This window comes from Homo sapiens, chromosome 6, assembly GCF_000001405.40.
Source record: "Homo sapiens chromosome 6, GRCh38.p14 Primary Assembly".
Classification (NCBI taxonomy): Eukaryota; Metazoa; Chordata; class Mammalia; order Primates; family Hominidae; genus Homo; species Homo sapiens.
In genome coordinates, this window is record NC_000006.12 from 26,230,829 (window position 1) to 26,246,546 (window position 15,718).

The 15,718-nt window shown below is 41.7% G+C and overlaps 2 protein-coding genes and 1 pseudogene across 2 annotated transcripts, besides 6 other annotated features; 2 read left to right on the plus strand and 1 right to left on the minus strand.

Annotated features, from left to right (window-relative positions):
- Window positions 2,294-2,427, plus strand: H2AC9P (H2A clustered histone 9, pseudogene; annotated as a pseudogene).
- Window positions 2,482-2,531: an enhancer, noted in NCBI's record as "active region_24216". NCBI's record gives its function as "activates an Ori minimal core promoter by ATAC-STARR-seq in GM12878 lymphoblastoid cells {active_cell/tissue: GM12878}" and the evidence as "EXISTENCE:reporter gene assay evidence [ECO:0000049][PMID:35858748]".
- Window positions 3,362-3,771: an enhancer, noted in NCBI's record as "active region_24217". NCBI's record gives its function as "activates an Ori minimal core promoter by ATAC-STARR-seq in GM12878 lymphoblastoid cells {active_cell/tissue: GM12878}" and the evidence as "EXISTENCE:reporter gene assay evidence [ECO:0000049][PMID:35858748]".
- Window positions 3,362-4,672: a biological region, named in NCBI's record as "H3K27ac hESC enhancer GRCh37_chr6:26234741-26235728".
- Window positions 3,384-4,159, minus strand: H1-3 (H1.3 linker histone, cluster member). The gene has a single exon (NM_005320.3). The coding sequence runs from the start codon at window positions 4,103-4,105 to the stop codon at window positions 3,440-3,442; it is 666 nt and encodes a 221-aa protein (NP_005311.1). The 5' UTR covers window positions 4,106-4,159; the 3' UTR covers window positions 3,384-3,439.
- Window positions 3,685-4,672: an enhancer, noted in NCBI's record as "H3K27ac hESC enhancer chr6:26234741-26235728 (GRCh37/hg19 assembly coordinates)". NCBI's record gives its function as "activates a minimal SCP1, AML or CMV promoter by ChIP-STARR-seq in naive H9 embryonic stem cells {active_cell/tissue: H9 hESC(naive)}" and the evidence as "EXISTENCE:reporter gene assay evidence [ECO:0000049][PMID:30033119]".
- Window positions 9,192-9,291: an enhancer, noted in NCBI's record as "active region_24218". NCBI's record gives its function as "activates an Ori minimal core promoter by ATAC-STARR-seq in GM12878 lymphoblastoid cells {active_cell/tissue: GM12878}" and the evidence as "EXISTENCE:reporter gene assay evidence [ECO:0000049][PMID:35858748]".
- H4C6 (H4 clustered histone 6) lies at window positions 9,565-9,965 on the plus strand. Its single transcript, NM_003540.4, has one exon. The coding sequence runs from the start codon at window positions 9,598-9,600 to the stop codon at window positions 9,907-9,909; it is 312 nt and encodes a 103-aa protein (NP_003531.1). The 5' UTR covers window positions 9,565-9,597; the 3' UTR covers window positions 9,910-9,965.
- Window positions 9,752-9,801: an enhancer, noted in NCBI's record as "active region_24219". NCBI's record gives its function as "activates an Ori minimal core promoter by ATAC-STARR-seq in GM12878 lymphoblastoid cells {active_cell/tissue: GM12878}" and the evidence as "EXISTENCE:reporter gene assay evidence [ECO:0000049][PMID:35858748]".
- Window positions 9,966-15,718: the final 5,753 nt, after the last annotated feature.

A 15,718-nucleotide genomic window follows, 5' to 3' on the forward strand; every position in this document is an offset into this window, starting at 1 on the left:
GCCCAAGTGAGGCAGTTAAGTAAGTGCTTTGTAACAGTAAGAAACTAGAGGTATGTTATAGTCATTTGGACTGCTCTTGCGGAATGCCACATTCCCCACCTAATTCTCTTATTCCTTATCACTTTTCATCAAAAGCCTAAATCATGTCATTCTGGGTACTAAAGACCTCCCAGATCTCTTCTCCGCATTGGGAATTGGAAAATAATACCCCAAAACGAAGTCCTTAGAAGCAGAAGTGACCTCCTGCTATCCTTTGGCCTCTCATCCTCCATTGAGGCTACACATAATAACTAGAATCCCTCTTCCCCAAGGTGGTTACTGAAACTAGAACCCCTTTTTCTTCAAAGCCAGCCATAAAACCTAAAAATCTTACTGTAACTTTTCCGTCTCCTTTCTGTGTAAAAGCTAGCCATAAGAAAGTATATGTCTTACGTTGTTTGGCTGTAGGTCATAAGACCCTCCCTCATTCCAGAGAGGGTCCTCTAGAATGAGGAAGGAATACCCAGAAGGAAAGAATCTTGCCAGAGGCCAAGAAGAGTCTAGACACAGAGGCCTTGCTATGTTTCCCCAGTCTATTAGCATTAGATGACACCCTTTTTATCCAATCACAGTTCTACATGGCAGTTGGTACTTTGTTGAACCTAAGCATAAAAATGGACAGTTTCCCCTGTACCTCTGGGCCTTCATTGTGAAGGTTCCCATGTCACATAAACCTATGATGAAGTTTGACTTTTCTATTAATCTGCCTTTTTTCCGTTGATTTTCAGTGAACTTTCGGAGGGTGAAGTTTTGCTCACCCCTACATACCTGTATTTTTCACTCATTTTCAAAAAGATTATTTTGAATAAATATTTCAAATCCTCCCATTTATTCAGATCCCCTTCTCAATCAAGCCACTCTCATACAGGGAGGTATTTTGGCTTTCTCTACAAAGAAGAAATTGTGTGATGTAGCCGTGGTTCCCAAAAAATTAAACTCCTGCTTATAACTAGAAAGATGTCACAGGCTACATCCTTTTCTTTGTGGGGAGGGAGGCAAATAATAATGTAAAATATAATAAAATATTAACTAATAAGCAGAATGTAAACAAAGAAGTAAGATTAAGAGGTATTATAATCATGAGGGATTTATAGTATTTGGTCCCACTGCAAACTTGTTCAAGAGTTCATGACTTGTTTTGTGCTATGTATTCTGGAGATTCTGGAAATCTATAGATGCCTTCTCAAAACCATGTTTTTAAAAAATACTTATACAGGGTAAGAAAGGTAGTGACACTAAATTTTTTTTTCTTAAAGTCTGTATATGTGCTTTAGTTACACATCAAATAATAAGATCTAGCAGCAAGTATAATGTTGGCTTGAAAGGTTCACAATTAGTGTAAACTATTTCAAGACACCTGTAATAAGTACAAAGTGATATGAAAATATCTATGATTATCATTGATGTGAAATCCAGTGATTAGCTGCCTGTACTCACAAAGGAAATAAGCAAATTGCATTTAGGATTTGTGAAAATGTAATTTTTTCCCATCTAGAGTCCCATAACCATCTGTAGAAATCAGATTTTGTCGAGATTTCTCCGTACTGTTAAGTGGGCTTTTCTAAAATCAAAAACAAAACAAACAAAAAATAACCTCAGCCTCCCAAATACAATGTAAACAGTAGTACATCCAAGTCAGCCCAACTTCCTATAGCCCATTTATTTGTCCTGGTAACCCCAATTTCAGGCTTCTTCCTCCCTTCTCCAAGTTTTTTCATTTATTTTTCCCTCTCTATTTCTTATCTAATCACCAAATATGTATTGGATAGCTAACTCTAGCTCCCTGGTTCAGCTCAATCTGTGAGAAAGCAATTTGGGAAAAGAAGCAGATTATAAGCTGACAGAGGTTCCTTTCATACTTTTTACTATCTCTCAGCATCAGGGTGGTAGCAATACTTGTGCAGATTGACGCAGAATGACAAGGTGAGTAGTCTCCAAAAAGAGAATTCCATTTGGAGAATTCCATCTGAGGGGGAGGTGGAAAAAAAAACAGGCTTTTCGACTACGTCCCAGCATACACAACTGTTAATATCGCAACCTGATTGGTGAAAAATTTTCTCTCGGAAAAACCACGCAAATAAAAATCTAAGAATACGTTCTGATTGGTTAATTCAGCAGGCTCTGCAAACCAACAGAAAAAGCAAGTTTTACAAAACTGAGCCAGAGGCTATGATGAACTATCCCTCCGATTGGCTTAATACAAGAATTGCATTTTTTTCTAACATTACCTGGACGTGGGAAGCAAGACCACACTCGCGCCAAAAGCAAGACCTGCTTTGCCACGCGGGCCTACAGTTGCCAGTAGGGCTAATACACCGCGTCCTCCGCAAATACAGCTACTCCGAGCGGGTTGGACCAGCATGCTAGTGTTACCTGGCGGCAGTGCTAGGAGGTTAAGAGTAGGCAGAAATAAATGAACAAGCAAGAGAGCCCCTGGGAAAATAAGTCCTGGAGACGCTGGCCACTGACAGAAAAAGACAATGGGCACACTTTTTATTTTGAGACGGAGTCTCGTTCTATCGCCCAGGCCGGAGTGCAAGTGGCGCGATCTCGGCTTACAACTTCCGCCTCCCGGGTTCAAGTGATTTTCTACCTCAGCCCCCAAGTAGCTGGAATTACAGGCGCGCGGCACCACGCCTGACTAATTTTTGTATTTTTTTTTAGCAGAGATGGGGCTTCACCATGTTCTTCAGGCTGGCCTCGAACTCCTGACCTCGTGATGCCCCCGCCTCGGCCTCCCAAAATGCTGGGATTACAGGAGAGCCACCTCGTCACGCAGTGCAGCCCCCACACTATTTACAAATACAGTACCTGAGGGCCGATATCCCAAAGCTAAGGCTTATCAAAGGCCTGCGAAAAGACAGACACCGGGCACCACCAGCAGTTGGCCATTCTCAACGACCAGCTGCACAAGATCGTGGGCCGGAAGCACCTTGGGCATGCCACGTACTGCTCACAACCAGGACGGGATGTGCTCAGGAAGTCACCTCAACGCTAAAGTAAACTAAAGCATTTACACCACATCCCTGTGTCAGAAATAAAATTTTTTCAGGGCCACTTTTAAGCGCCGCGCTTTAACAGAAATCGGCCGGCCAATCACACACCACCGCGGGAATTTGAAGAAAAAGTAGGACCTGGTGGCTCAAGTAGCCTTAGCTATCCGGTGACTGTGGCTGAGACTGAGACGGAAGGATCCTTGCGCCCAGGCTGCTGGGAGCTGTTAATAACTGACCCCCAACCAGCACGACTAGGATAGACCGTGGCCGCACAACACCGCAGCACCCGCACCCCTCTCCACCCCACTCCCCCCTCCAAAAAGCTTCAGCTCTTTTGACTGAGACCTGTGGGTGGCTCTGAAAAGAGCCGTTTAAAATTTTCAAAGGGGAACGTCCCGCCAGTTTCACTTTTTCTTCGGAGCTGCCTTCTTTGCCTTTGTAACCTTCGGCTTCCCCGACTTAGGCTTGGCCGCCTTGGGCTTAGGGGCTTTGGCCTTAGCTGGACTCTTGGCAGCTTTTTTTGGCTGAGGTGTTTTCACCTTTTTCGCACTCTTGGCCACTTTCTTGGTCCCAGCAGCGGTTGCTGGCTTCTTTACCTTCTTAGGAGTCTTTTTGATGCTTTTCTTCGGGGTAGCGGCGCCAGCCACCTTCTTGGGCTTCTTGGCTGCCCCAGCAGGCTTCCTAGGCTTGGCTGCGCCAGCCTTTTTGGCCTTGGGTTTGCCTTCCCCGGAAGCCGCTTTCTTGTTGAGTTTGAAGGAGCCAGAAGCACCGGTACCTTTGGTCTGCACCAGAGTACCTTTGCTCACCAAGCTCTTGAGGCCAAGCTTGATACGGCTGTTGTTTTTTTCTACATCGTAGCCAGCAGCCGCAAGCGCTTTCTTAAGCGCGGCCAGAGAAACGCCGCTGCGCTCCTTAGAAGCTGCCACTGCCTTGGTGATAAGCTCAGATACTGGGGGTCCGGATGCTTTGCGTTTCCCAGCAGTTGCGCCTGCCTTCTTCGCCTTTTTCTTCACAGGTGTTTTTTCTGCGGGTGCAGGAATGGTAGGAGCAAGTGGAGCAGTCTCCGACATGTTTTTGTCTTCCCAGAAAAGACAATAAGTAATCTCAAACTGTCAGAACAGCATGTCCTCTACGAGGGAGGCTGAGGGTTTATATAGAGAGACGCTGAGTGATGATTGGTTCCTTGCTCCATGCGCGGCGCTGCTGGAAAAGGACTCCTCGTATCTACCGCGCTGCTGTGTTTGTTGCCCCTTAAAAAAGAGTAAAAATATAAGAAATCTGGGCATGAAATAATTAGAGACTTGGGGGAAACTGATCCGAGAGAGTTCGGGCTTCATTCCTGCCTTTGTTTCTATGCATAGTTTTAAAACCGGCATCTTGAAACTTTTCTTATTCCCCCAACTCTCTTTCAAACTTCGGTCAAATCGAGACAACTTTCATGTTTTCCTTAAAAATACTATTTCTCCCTCTTTCATTTGCAAATCTCTCTTCCAGGGCATTGTTCTGTGAATTCTTACCGTCTCAACTTTATATAGATAAACTCATTTTTATCCAAATGTGCAGGGAAATTGGGTTTTTTCGCAGGAACAATAGCACAGGCTCTCTGGCGAGCTGTTTGCATCAACCTCTAGGAATTGGCACTGAGGTAGAAAGTTCTATGTACAAGAGGGGTGATTAGTTTAGAAAAGATAGTTTAAAAAAAAAAATAGTATTTGAGTTACCAGTGTGTAAGCTGGATTTGATCTCCATATTTCAGTGGTTTAAACATTTCCAGAAAGATAAGGGTGAGGCTACATTATTCCTCTTACAGAAAAAAAAGTCCTAAGTAGAGTTACCAACCTTCTCTTAAAAGTTAGGATCATGGATTTTTCCGATCTAGAATGGGCATTAAAGATCAACTACCACATCCCCAAAAAAGAAAACTGAACCAACAAATAATAGAATGGCAGGCCAACATCATTTTGGCAACTGTGAGCATTGAGAGCTTGTGTACATGTTTGTGTCCCATCACTTTATAAATAATTTAATGAAATACACTATTTTTTTGCTAATATTCATCATAGAATTTTGTACATTTTTTATATTTTAAAATCATATTTATAATACAAATTTCCCTTCCTCTTTCTCTGTACAACCTGTTTGAATAACTGGTAAAAGTCACTTTAAAAAAATAAAATACAAATTTTCAACATTGCAAGTGTGGGCATCAAGGGTTAGAAAGAAAAATATCTGATTTAAATCACTGTAAATTTTCATCATTCTACTTGGCTTTTTACACACAAAATATGAACTAAGCTGTCACACCCTAAATTAATTGGTTGAATATGTCCACCTAAGGAGCTGAACAAACATTTCAAAGCAAACATGAGTAACTTCAGTATTCTTTATCTGTTAGTTTGCAATACAGCTGATGGAATTAGGTTATTATTAAATAATTAAGCACAAAATTGATATTCTCCATCAAGTAATCAGATGCTGAAATGAACTCCTATGTTGAAGAAACAAGAGAAGTAGTTTGATGTTATGTTTCTTCTAACAAAAATACTCATTTCAAAAAATCAAGTTATTCTGGCCTACACTCAATAGTGATTAGAGGATTTTTTCATATAAATCCTAGATAAAATAATCAACTTTAAAGATGTCATCTCTCCTCATTCAACTAATTTCATAAAAATTACTTAGCTTGTCTTGGCCAGGCGCAGTGGCTCACGCCTGTAATCCCAGCACTTTGTGAGGCCATGCTGGGCAGACCACCTGAGTCAGGAGTTCAAGACCAGCCTGACCAACATGGTGAAACCCTGTCTATACTAAAAATACAAAAATTAGGCGGGCATGGTGGCACACGCCTGTAATCCCAGCTACTTGGGAGGCTGAGGTAGGAGAATCGCTTGAACCCGGAAGGCGGAGGTTGCAGTGAGCCAAGATAGTGCCATTGCACTCCAGCCTGGGCAACAAGAGTGAAATTCCATCTCAAAAAAAAAAATTACTAAGCTTGTCTTAAGTAATTATTTACTCTCTTGCATGTATTAGAAACAAGTCTCTGGGACTTAAGACCGTGTTATACACCACTGAAATACAAATGTGGTTTATAAAAAAGCTAAACTTATAGAATTGGATTAGTAGGACCCCACAATTCCAGTAGGGAAGCATTTTATAGGTTTCTGGAGGCAGGGGCGGTGCATCATTATGGATATCATTTTCAACAGTGATAGTCACAAGCATACTCTAAGTATTTTTTTTTGGGACCATAGCTTTATATTGCCTAGACGTAAAGGTACAATTAAAATTCAGATTGTTTACTGTTTATTATTTTGATCATTATTGTAGTCTTAATAGTTGTTGAATAATTGTTGGAATTGTTCACCGTGTTAGATATAGTCAATTAACAGATGCCACCATTTCATTCTTGTGCAACACTGACTGGTTCCCATAGCTACTTAGGATCTCAGTAAGTAAAAAGGCATTGGGCTAACTAATCTCTGCTCTTTCTGGAGGGCAATAACTGAGACTCAGTTTCACCAACAAAGTTCGCCAGATGTTCAAAGAGGAAAGGGGCTAGGCTACATAAGTTGGGACCTGGTACTTATCTTCTCTGTAATTGTAGCAAGGACAAGGTTCCTGAAAGCTGGATCACCCCATGGACTGTAAACTTGAAGTCCTGCAAAGTTTCACCTATTACTTTGGTAGCCCTCAAAAAGAGTTCTGTGTTGCTTTGGAATCCTAAATCTGAATATAATCTAAAACAGTAGATTTCCCATTACACTGAGGTTGGAACCATTTATTTTATAGATGCAAAAAGTAGCTAGGAAAAACTAGTTAGATAAGTGATAGCTATCTAACTTAAGGCCCAGTGTTCTCTTCATTTTGTGTTAACTCCCCCATCCCCACCACCACCATAGTAAATGACTATGAGAGTTGTAGGTAGTATTCAATAGATCAATCCAGTGACACTGTGCTTAAGCATCACACAATTCAGATTTTAAAGATTTCCAAAAAAAAAAAAAGAAACTATATAGAATAAATATTAAAAGGGGTGAAAACATATATAGACTATTATAGAAAATAAAGCTTTGTGTTAGAATCAAACGTGTTCAAAAAGTCCATGAGAAATCACATCGATTGTAACCGTCTATGAGGTAGTCTTACCTGAGGACACTGGCTCCTTGAAATTCCTCTTCAAGTACAACAGTATTGTGTTAATTTTATTTCCTAAGAAGGCCACTACTATACTCAAACTTACAGTTTTCTCTTTACATGTCTCAGGCATCCACCAAACTCCCTCCTCCCTTCTAGACTGGATTAGAAGCTCTTCAGAAGAAACCCCCTTATCACAGATACAGCCCAATAAAACTTTCTGCGATGATAAAAATATTCTGTATTAACACTGTCCAATAGGTAGCCACTAACCATATGTGGCTACTGAGTACCGTAATGTGGCTAGAGTAAGTGTGCAAATTAATTTTTAATTTAAATTAATTTAAATAAAAATGAGCACATGTTGCTAGTGGCTAATATAGGACAGCAGAGCTTTAAAACAATTATTCTCAAACTTGGAAGAGCATACCTACCACCCACTTAGAGATCTCATTAAAAATGTAATATCAATTCCATTGATTTGGGGTTGGGCCCGAAATTCTGTATGTCTAACAAGCTTCAGAGTGATGCCAGTATAGCTGGGATATGGCTGCTCCGCCCTTAAATACCTGACAGTAAGTAGAAGTATGCTGGTCTGATATCTGCCCCCTAACCCTGAGTGTACTTTTCCCTTTACTAAACTTTTGAGTTCTTTAAGAGAATAAATGTGATTATCTTTGTAAACCTGGTATTTGTACACTATTCTTGGCATGTAGTGGACATTAAATTGTTGAATGAATGAATGATGCTTGTTTGGTGCCTACCTCAAAAAGGAGAGCACTTGAGATCCTTGTGTCTATTCCTACAGGTAACTGAACCTAAGCCAAAATTTAAGTAGACTCTTAACTCCACAAAATGAATAATCTTCTCACTGCTTTTAGGCACCAGCAGAGACGGGATTTTTAAGTTACCCTTGCAGTATATAGGAGGCAATGAATGTGAAGCAGTAGACTGTAAGAGTTAATGTTGAATTTTTCTACTACACATACCCTATGATCTGTGTGTAGAACACTTCTTCCGGAATCTTTTATTAGGACAGTATTTCACAGAATTTATTAGTATTATTTTTGTTAATTTACAAACCTTTATTCACCATGATTTACCATGTATGCTTTAGTGGCATGAAAGCAGTGGTAGGTAGCAAGGTAGTGAGACTCCAGAATCGAGCCAACAATACAATGCCATTTATTAGAGGATAATGTCTTCAAGCCTGGGATTCCTTATCTTTACACCTCAGATATTGCATTATACATTGAAAAACTAAGAATGAAACTTCAATTAATATTGGTTTCCCTTACTAGAGGTCTTTCTTTATTAGGAATGCCAAAAACGATGTGAATGTATATGTCTCTGCCAAACGCTAAGTCTCATGATTGGCCAAATTTAAGAAGTATTGCTACATTTTAAGAATTAATAAAAATGGCCGGGCGTGGTGGCTCACGCCAGTAATCCCAGCACTTTGTGAGGCCAAGGTGGGTGGATCACCTGAAGTCAGGAGTTCGAGACCACCCTGGCCAACATGGCGAAACCCCGTCTTTACTAAGAAAATACAAAAATTACCCAGGTGTGGCGACGCGTGCCTGAAATCACAGCTACTCGTGAGGCTGAGGCATGAGAATCGCTTGAACCCAGAAGGCGGAGGTTGCAGTGAGCCGAGATAGCGCCACTGCACTCCAGCCTGGGCAACAGAGTGAGACCCCGTATCAAAAAAAAAAAATTAGTAAAAATACATTTTCAAAGAATCTTCACATTTAAAAATTAAAGCTAGGCGCCTGTAATCCCAGAACTTTGGGAGGCCGAGGCGGGTGGATCACCTGAGGTCAGGAGTTCGAGACCAGCCTAGTCAACATGGCGAAACCCCATCTCTACTAAAAATACAAAAATTAGCCGGGCGTGGTGACGCGCGCCTGTAGTTGCAGCTACTGCAGGGGCTGAGGCAGAAGAATCGCTCGAACCCGAGAGGCGGAGGTTGCAGTGAGCCGAGATCACGCCACTGCACTCCAGTCTGGGGCAGAGCAAAACTGTTTCAAAAGAAATAATAATTTTATTCTCTTGTCTATCCATTCGGTAGACAAGTGTAGCGTTACTGCCTCCTTTTTGCAAATAATAAGGATTTTAGGAGACAGACATTATCAGTTCGAGAGCCCACAGGCACTGGACTAGAAGACACAGAAACCTACACTCAAGACCCAAACAAGGAAACAGGAAGGAGTCAAATCAACTTGCATTTCCCCTACCCTCACCGCCCCCTTTCCTTCCCAAGGCAATAGTGTAGGGGACGCCCAGTAAGTTACGGAAAAGGCGGAGACAGAGGTTTCGTTCCCGCCCCTCCAATTCAGTCTCCAAAAAGGTCCGCATAATTGATATATAAGGGGCTTCAGTGTGTAGCAAAGTTGCAAAAGTTAAGAGTTGTTGTTTGTCTTCGATCATGTCTGGTAGAGGCAAAGGTGGTAAAGGTTTAGGAAAGGGAGGCGCCAAGCGCCATCGCAAAGTGCTGCGTGACAACATACAGGGCATCACGAAGCCCGCCATCCGTCGCTTGGCCCGACGCGGCGGCGTGAAACGCATTTCGGGCCTCATTTATGAGGAGACCCGCGGTGTTCTTAAGGTGTTCCTGGAGAATGTGATACGGGACGCCGTAACCTACACGGAGCACGCCAAGCGTAAGACAGTCACTGCAATGGATGTTGTCTACGCGCTCAAGCGCCAGGGACGCACTCTGTACGGCTTTGGTGGCTGAGCCTCACCCCGGCTTTTTATTTAACAGCTCACCCATAAAAGGCCCTTTTCAGGGCCACCTCCTTCGTCACACGAAGGGCTGTAACTGATGACGACTTGGGTTTCGTTTTGTAAATTTGGGATTCTAACTGAGTTAAACCGAGCCGTTTTTAGCGATCTTCCTAAGATGGCGGATGTGCTAAGGAGAAAGGGAAGGCGAAACATTAGAAACTTGTTCAGGTATTTCGATCGCAAACATTCACAGGAAAAGATGGTGGAAATGGTTTGGGAATACCAGCAGCCTTTTATGACGTATGTGATGTGTTTTATTCCCACGTTTCTGAAATTTACTCCTATGTTAGGTGGCTGGGACTTAACTACACTAGCATTACATGTTTAGTTTTTGAGATGGAGTTGCTCTTGTCCAGGCTGTAGTGCAATGACGCAATCTCGGCTCACCGCAACCACCCCCTCCCGGGTTTAAGCGGTTCTCCTGACTCAACCTCCCGAGTAACTGGGGTTACAGGCATGCGCCACCACGCTTGGCTAATTTTTTATTTTTAGTACAGAAGGGGCTTTTCTGTGTTGGTCTGGCTGGTCTCGAACTCCCGACCTCAGGTGATCCGCCCTTCTTGGCCTCCCAAAGTGCAGGGATTGCAGGCGTGAGCCACCGTGCCCGGCCTTAGTGTTATTTATTAGGCATAGAACGTGAGTAATCTTAGGGCGGCTGTGGACAGATCAATTACTGGTAAACTTAATCCACTACTTGTGTCCGGGCGCGGTGCCTCAGGCCTGAATCACAGCACCTTGGGAGACCACGGCGGGCGGATTACTAGAGCTCAGGAGTTCGAGACTAGCCTGGGCAACCAAAATGGTGAAACTCCGTCTCAACTAAAAAAGTTAAATAGGAAAGTTAGCCCGGCGTTGTGGCGGACGCCTGCTGTCGCAGCTAATCTGCAAGGGCTGAGGCAGGAGAATCGCTTGAGCACGGGAGGCGGAGATTTCAGTGAGCTGAGATGGTGCCACTCCACTCCTGCCTGGGCGACAGAGACCATGCCTCAAAAAAAAAAAAAAAAAAGTAAAGTTTGGCCGGGCTCGGTGGCTCATGTCTGCAATCCCATCTGTAATTCCAGCAGCTTGGGAGGCCGAGGTGGGTGGATCACTTGAGCTCAACGAGTTCGAGACCAGCCTGGCTAGCACTGCAAAACCTCGTCTCTACTAAAAATACAAAAATTAGACGTAGACGTGGTGACACGCGCCTGTAGTCCCAGCTACTCGGGAGGCTGAGGCAGGAGAATCACTTGAACCCGGGAGACTGAGGTTGCAGTGAGCCGAGGTCGCGCCACTGCACTCCAGGCCTGGGGCACAGAACAAGGCTCCGTCTCAAAAAGAAAAAAAAAAGCCCAAGTTTTTGTCTTACCCAGTGAATTCTTTGTTGGGGCACTTACTGTGATTTCAGGTCATTGATAATTTTACTGCTTTATTTCTCAAGTACTGGTAATTTATAACCCAAAGTGTTTCTCCTTGTGCTTTGTCAACCTACCCGGTTATCACCCGCGATCCTGACTCCTAACGTTTTCATTTTTTCACCATACCGAAGAAGTGGCTTCTCATCTGTTCTTTTTTTGTCAATGGTAATTCATTACATACACTGTTCCACAAATATTCTTCAACTTGGGGTTTCCTCTTCAAGAAGCCTTTACCTGATTCCTATGGGCAAAATCGGTGTCTGGGGTTTCCTTACAATTCACGAAGCACACTCTACACATGTCCCTAGCCCTACTTCAGAATTCCCTATACGACTTAGGAGCTACTGCACACTTAAATAGTTGGGAGTAATTCTTGCCCTCTTCCCAAGATATTTTCAGGTCTTGAACAATGTCTTTAATTTAGTATCCTCAGGATGTAGTATTTAGTTCATAAATGTTTGTGCAATGACTGAAGGAATCAATGAAATTAAGCTATCTGGGCCATCACCAATATACCGTTATAAAAATCATTCCCCTTTAATTAAGCAATATCTCTACTCCCACAGAACCATCTTCTCTATTCACCTTTACACAAATGTCAATATTCATGGCTGCCAACAATTTATATTACAGACTTTTTAAAATGCAGATTGAGATCCATTCACGGGTAATGAAAATAATTTAGTGGGTCCCAACCAGCATATAAAACGTAAATAGAATCCAATATAACAACTAGAAATTATCAAAGTATCCCATCTAGTAAGTAAAAATATTGTGTCATAAAATTTTAGTTTCAAATAGATGTACTTTTGGTTTTACTTTGGAACTTGAAGGAGAAAAGGTTCAAAAGATACTGGTCCATTTATTTAATGTATATATTTGTCAAATTCTCAGGTTAGGACATTGCCTCACTTCCCTGGGTTTCAGAACTTCAATACTCAGCCTCATTTGCAGCTGGAATGCAGATCTGTAACCTAGGCTTCACCAATGAGTCACAGGTTTAAAAGACTTATCTTCAAAAATGGGACCCAGGAGAGAAGAGACTGCCTAAAGCCTCTGTTTCTGCTGTGACAGATGTCAGATGGGCCAACTTTTGGTAGTAGCAGCAGCCATAGGTTACAGGTGAGTCAAGTTCTGATTCAGAAATAACAGGTGTGACACACCAGCACCTGACTAGTTCTGCAGCACAGCTTTGGAGTTTGTCCCTGGGAGTGTCATCAGGCGTGGTTCTACAGCCCTCCCAAGAATGCTAATATCTATTCAATATCCCTTTAAACATCACAGTTAATGTGCGATTACCAGTCAGCTGGCAACTAAGAATTTAGAGTTTCAAACAAAAAGGGTTTTAACTATTTTCTAATGGACTTTTGTGTATTTTAGGAATTCGGAGTCGTTTTACAACACTATTAAAAGGTTTTATGCCTTACTATACTTCTGGTAGCAATAATGCCTCCCCCCCAGATGCCCGCATCTTAATCCCAAAAGCTGCGAATATGTTTCCTTAAATGGTAAAAGTAACTTTCCAATGTTATTAAATTAAGGCTTTTGAGATTGGATGATTCTGGATTACCTGAGTGGTGCCATTGTAATCACAAGGATCCTTATAAGTAGAAGCGAGGAGAGTCAGAGTCAGAGAAGTGATAAGGGTAATGGAGTGTGATGCCTTTTGTAAACAGAGGAAGGGGCCACACTAGTTGCCCTTTGTTTCCTGAAACACATAAAGCTTTTCTCACCTTGAGATTTTCCACTTGCATGTCCTCTGGCCCAGAACATCCTTGGCGTGGCTCCCAATCTATGTGTGACTTCACACAAGAGCAGTGATATTTAAGCCAGTCATTTTGGCTACAATTCACTGTTTAAACACTATGTCATACTTTACAGGGCCATAGAAAATTATGGCAATTGCTGGAATGTTGTTTGACAGAATAGAGTGGAGAAACCCTGAAAGGTAAAAAGCTTGGCTTTGACAGAAAAAATAAATAACAATGAGAAAATGTGTATCCTAGAAAGGGTTTTTAAATTCTAGATTGACTCTTGCATTAAAATCTATTTTTAAAAAGTTTTGTTGTGTTCTGCTTCATGTGTTTGTTGTTGTTAAACAATGATTATTGTGTCGTTTCATTTACCCCTATGAAAGTGAAATAATACAAATCAAACATACACCATTGTAAGTTAAAAACTCATAGATTGAGAAAGTAAATATTTAATTCTGTGGAATTAAGTATATAAAGTTTTTCTTATATAAGAGTCTGTAGATCCTGTGTGGTTTACAGAAAAATTTAACTTTGACACCGTCTCTACAAGCTGTTTCCAGTGGCAAGGCAAAGGATTGGCCAAAAAAAAAAAAAAAAAAAAAACATATAATAGAAACACAGAACTGTTCACGACGTTTATTTTATGAAACATGGAAGTGGTGTCATTTCCTCATAAAGTGTCTTCCAGTAGGACCTCTAGACTTATTTCCACTTTCTCCTCCAAGCCCTGGGCTTTGGGAGACTAACTGTATGGTTCTGACCAATATGCTACCCAGACCTCCACCTTCTGGAAGGATTCAGCCAGTGGAAACCCCATGCAGGAGACTGGAGGAAAGGAGGAAAATGAGATGGGGTATTTATTCCCCAGTTTCCCTTTCATTGGCTGTTAGCAGCATCTCTCCAGACCAGGGATCCCTCTCTCTGCAGCTATAGCAATTGCTTCCCATGCCCCTTCAGGGTTATAAGTGATCCTTACTAGACCTGGATGGAGGCACTACTTTTTTAGTTTTCTGTATCCTGCCCTTAATTTGCAAATAATTTCTTTAAGAAACCCTCCTCCAATTATCCCATGTGAGTAAGCTACTTGTTTCCTGTCTTGACCTTAGCAGAACCCAATATTTTCACTACACAGCACAAAGTTTATGGCCATAATATCCAAAAGAATTGATGTAACTTAAATGCAAGTTTCTCCATGTCACACCTCATTAACATGCTTCCAACAGCATAAGGTTAATTCTCAGTTTCTCAATTTGCAAGAGGAGGCCCTCCTCAATCAGGCAACTGCCAGGCATGCATCTTTGGTCATATATGTATTCCCAGTCTCCATGGCATCAAACTACTTATTGCCCCTTGTGTCTTCACACTAGTGGAGACCTACCCTCTCCCAACAGTACCTGAACTGCCCTGTTCCCATGTCCCTCCCCTCTGGCTAACAGCTGATCATGATGAGTGAGAGCAAGAGGAATAAATGTGCCTGCATATGACAAGTGTCATGCGGCTCAGTGTCCTGCTACTTGCATCCTCTCTCTGCAGACAGGTCTTTTACACTTACCTGTTCAGAGACCTCTCCCGTGATGGCACCAGAGTTTGTAACAGTTTATTATGTTAATTTTTCCCAAATTTTTATTATAAAAATATTCAGAATAAAACATAACAAAAGATGGGTTTATCAGTCATCCACTACCTACATTCAATAGAGTGGATTTTACCACCATCCGAAAGTAAATGACAGACTCATGAGAATTTACACCTACACACTTCAGCATCTAACCCCTAACAATAAGGGAAATTCCATGTAATCTCAATATATCAAACCTTTCTTTAAAAACTTACTAAAATGACCTGTTATCCAGTTCACGTTCAAGTTTCCTTGATTATCTCCAAAATGCCCTTTAAAACTTTAGAGACAGAATGCAATTAATACATTTAGTTGCTATGTTACTTTAATCTCCTTCAAACTTAAAGTCCTCCAGTTTTTCTCGGTGGCTTTTTGAACAAAGCAATTGTCCCAAATGTTCCACATTCTGGAAGGTTTTTTCCCCCTCTTGAGATGTTTAATTGGCTCTTTGACCCCTGTACTTTCATAAACAGTAAATTGAGACACGAATTATTGCAGTTACACCTTATCAAGGTGTTTCTATATTTACGATGGATCACAAGCAAAGGCACGAAACAGGTAAACTTCTTTTAGTGCTGCTAAATTAGATCATTGAACTAGCAAGGGGGCCAGTCCCTCCACTGCAGACACATTTGTCAGAACGGCACCTGGCAAGTTTGTGCTAATTATTGTGTATTCTCTGGTTATTGAAATTGCTTATTAAGCAGAATATAAAAGTCGGGTTATCTTGGCACTAAAACTACAATTTTAATTACGGAGGGTAATCCTAACAGTAAGGAGAAAAACACACTACCATAACCACATTTTGAGAGCTTTTAAGTGACAATGTAGCCGTTGATGTCCTCAGCCAGCCCACCAGATTTCTAATCTCTGAACACACGATTAACTTACCACCTGTATTCCATGTTGTATGTCAGCCTTGGCGTAAATTTATACTTTACAGCATTATACACCTAACAGCTTTTGGGCACCTACAGCAATAAAACACAC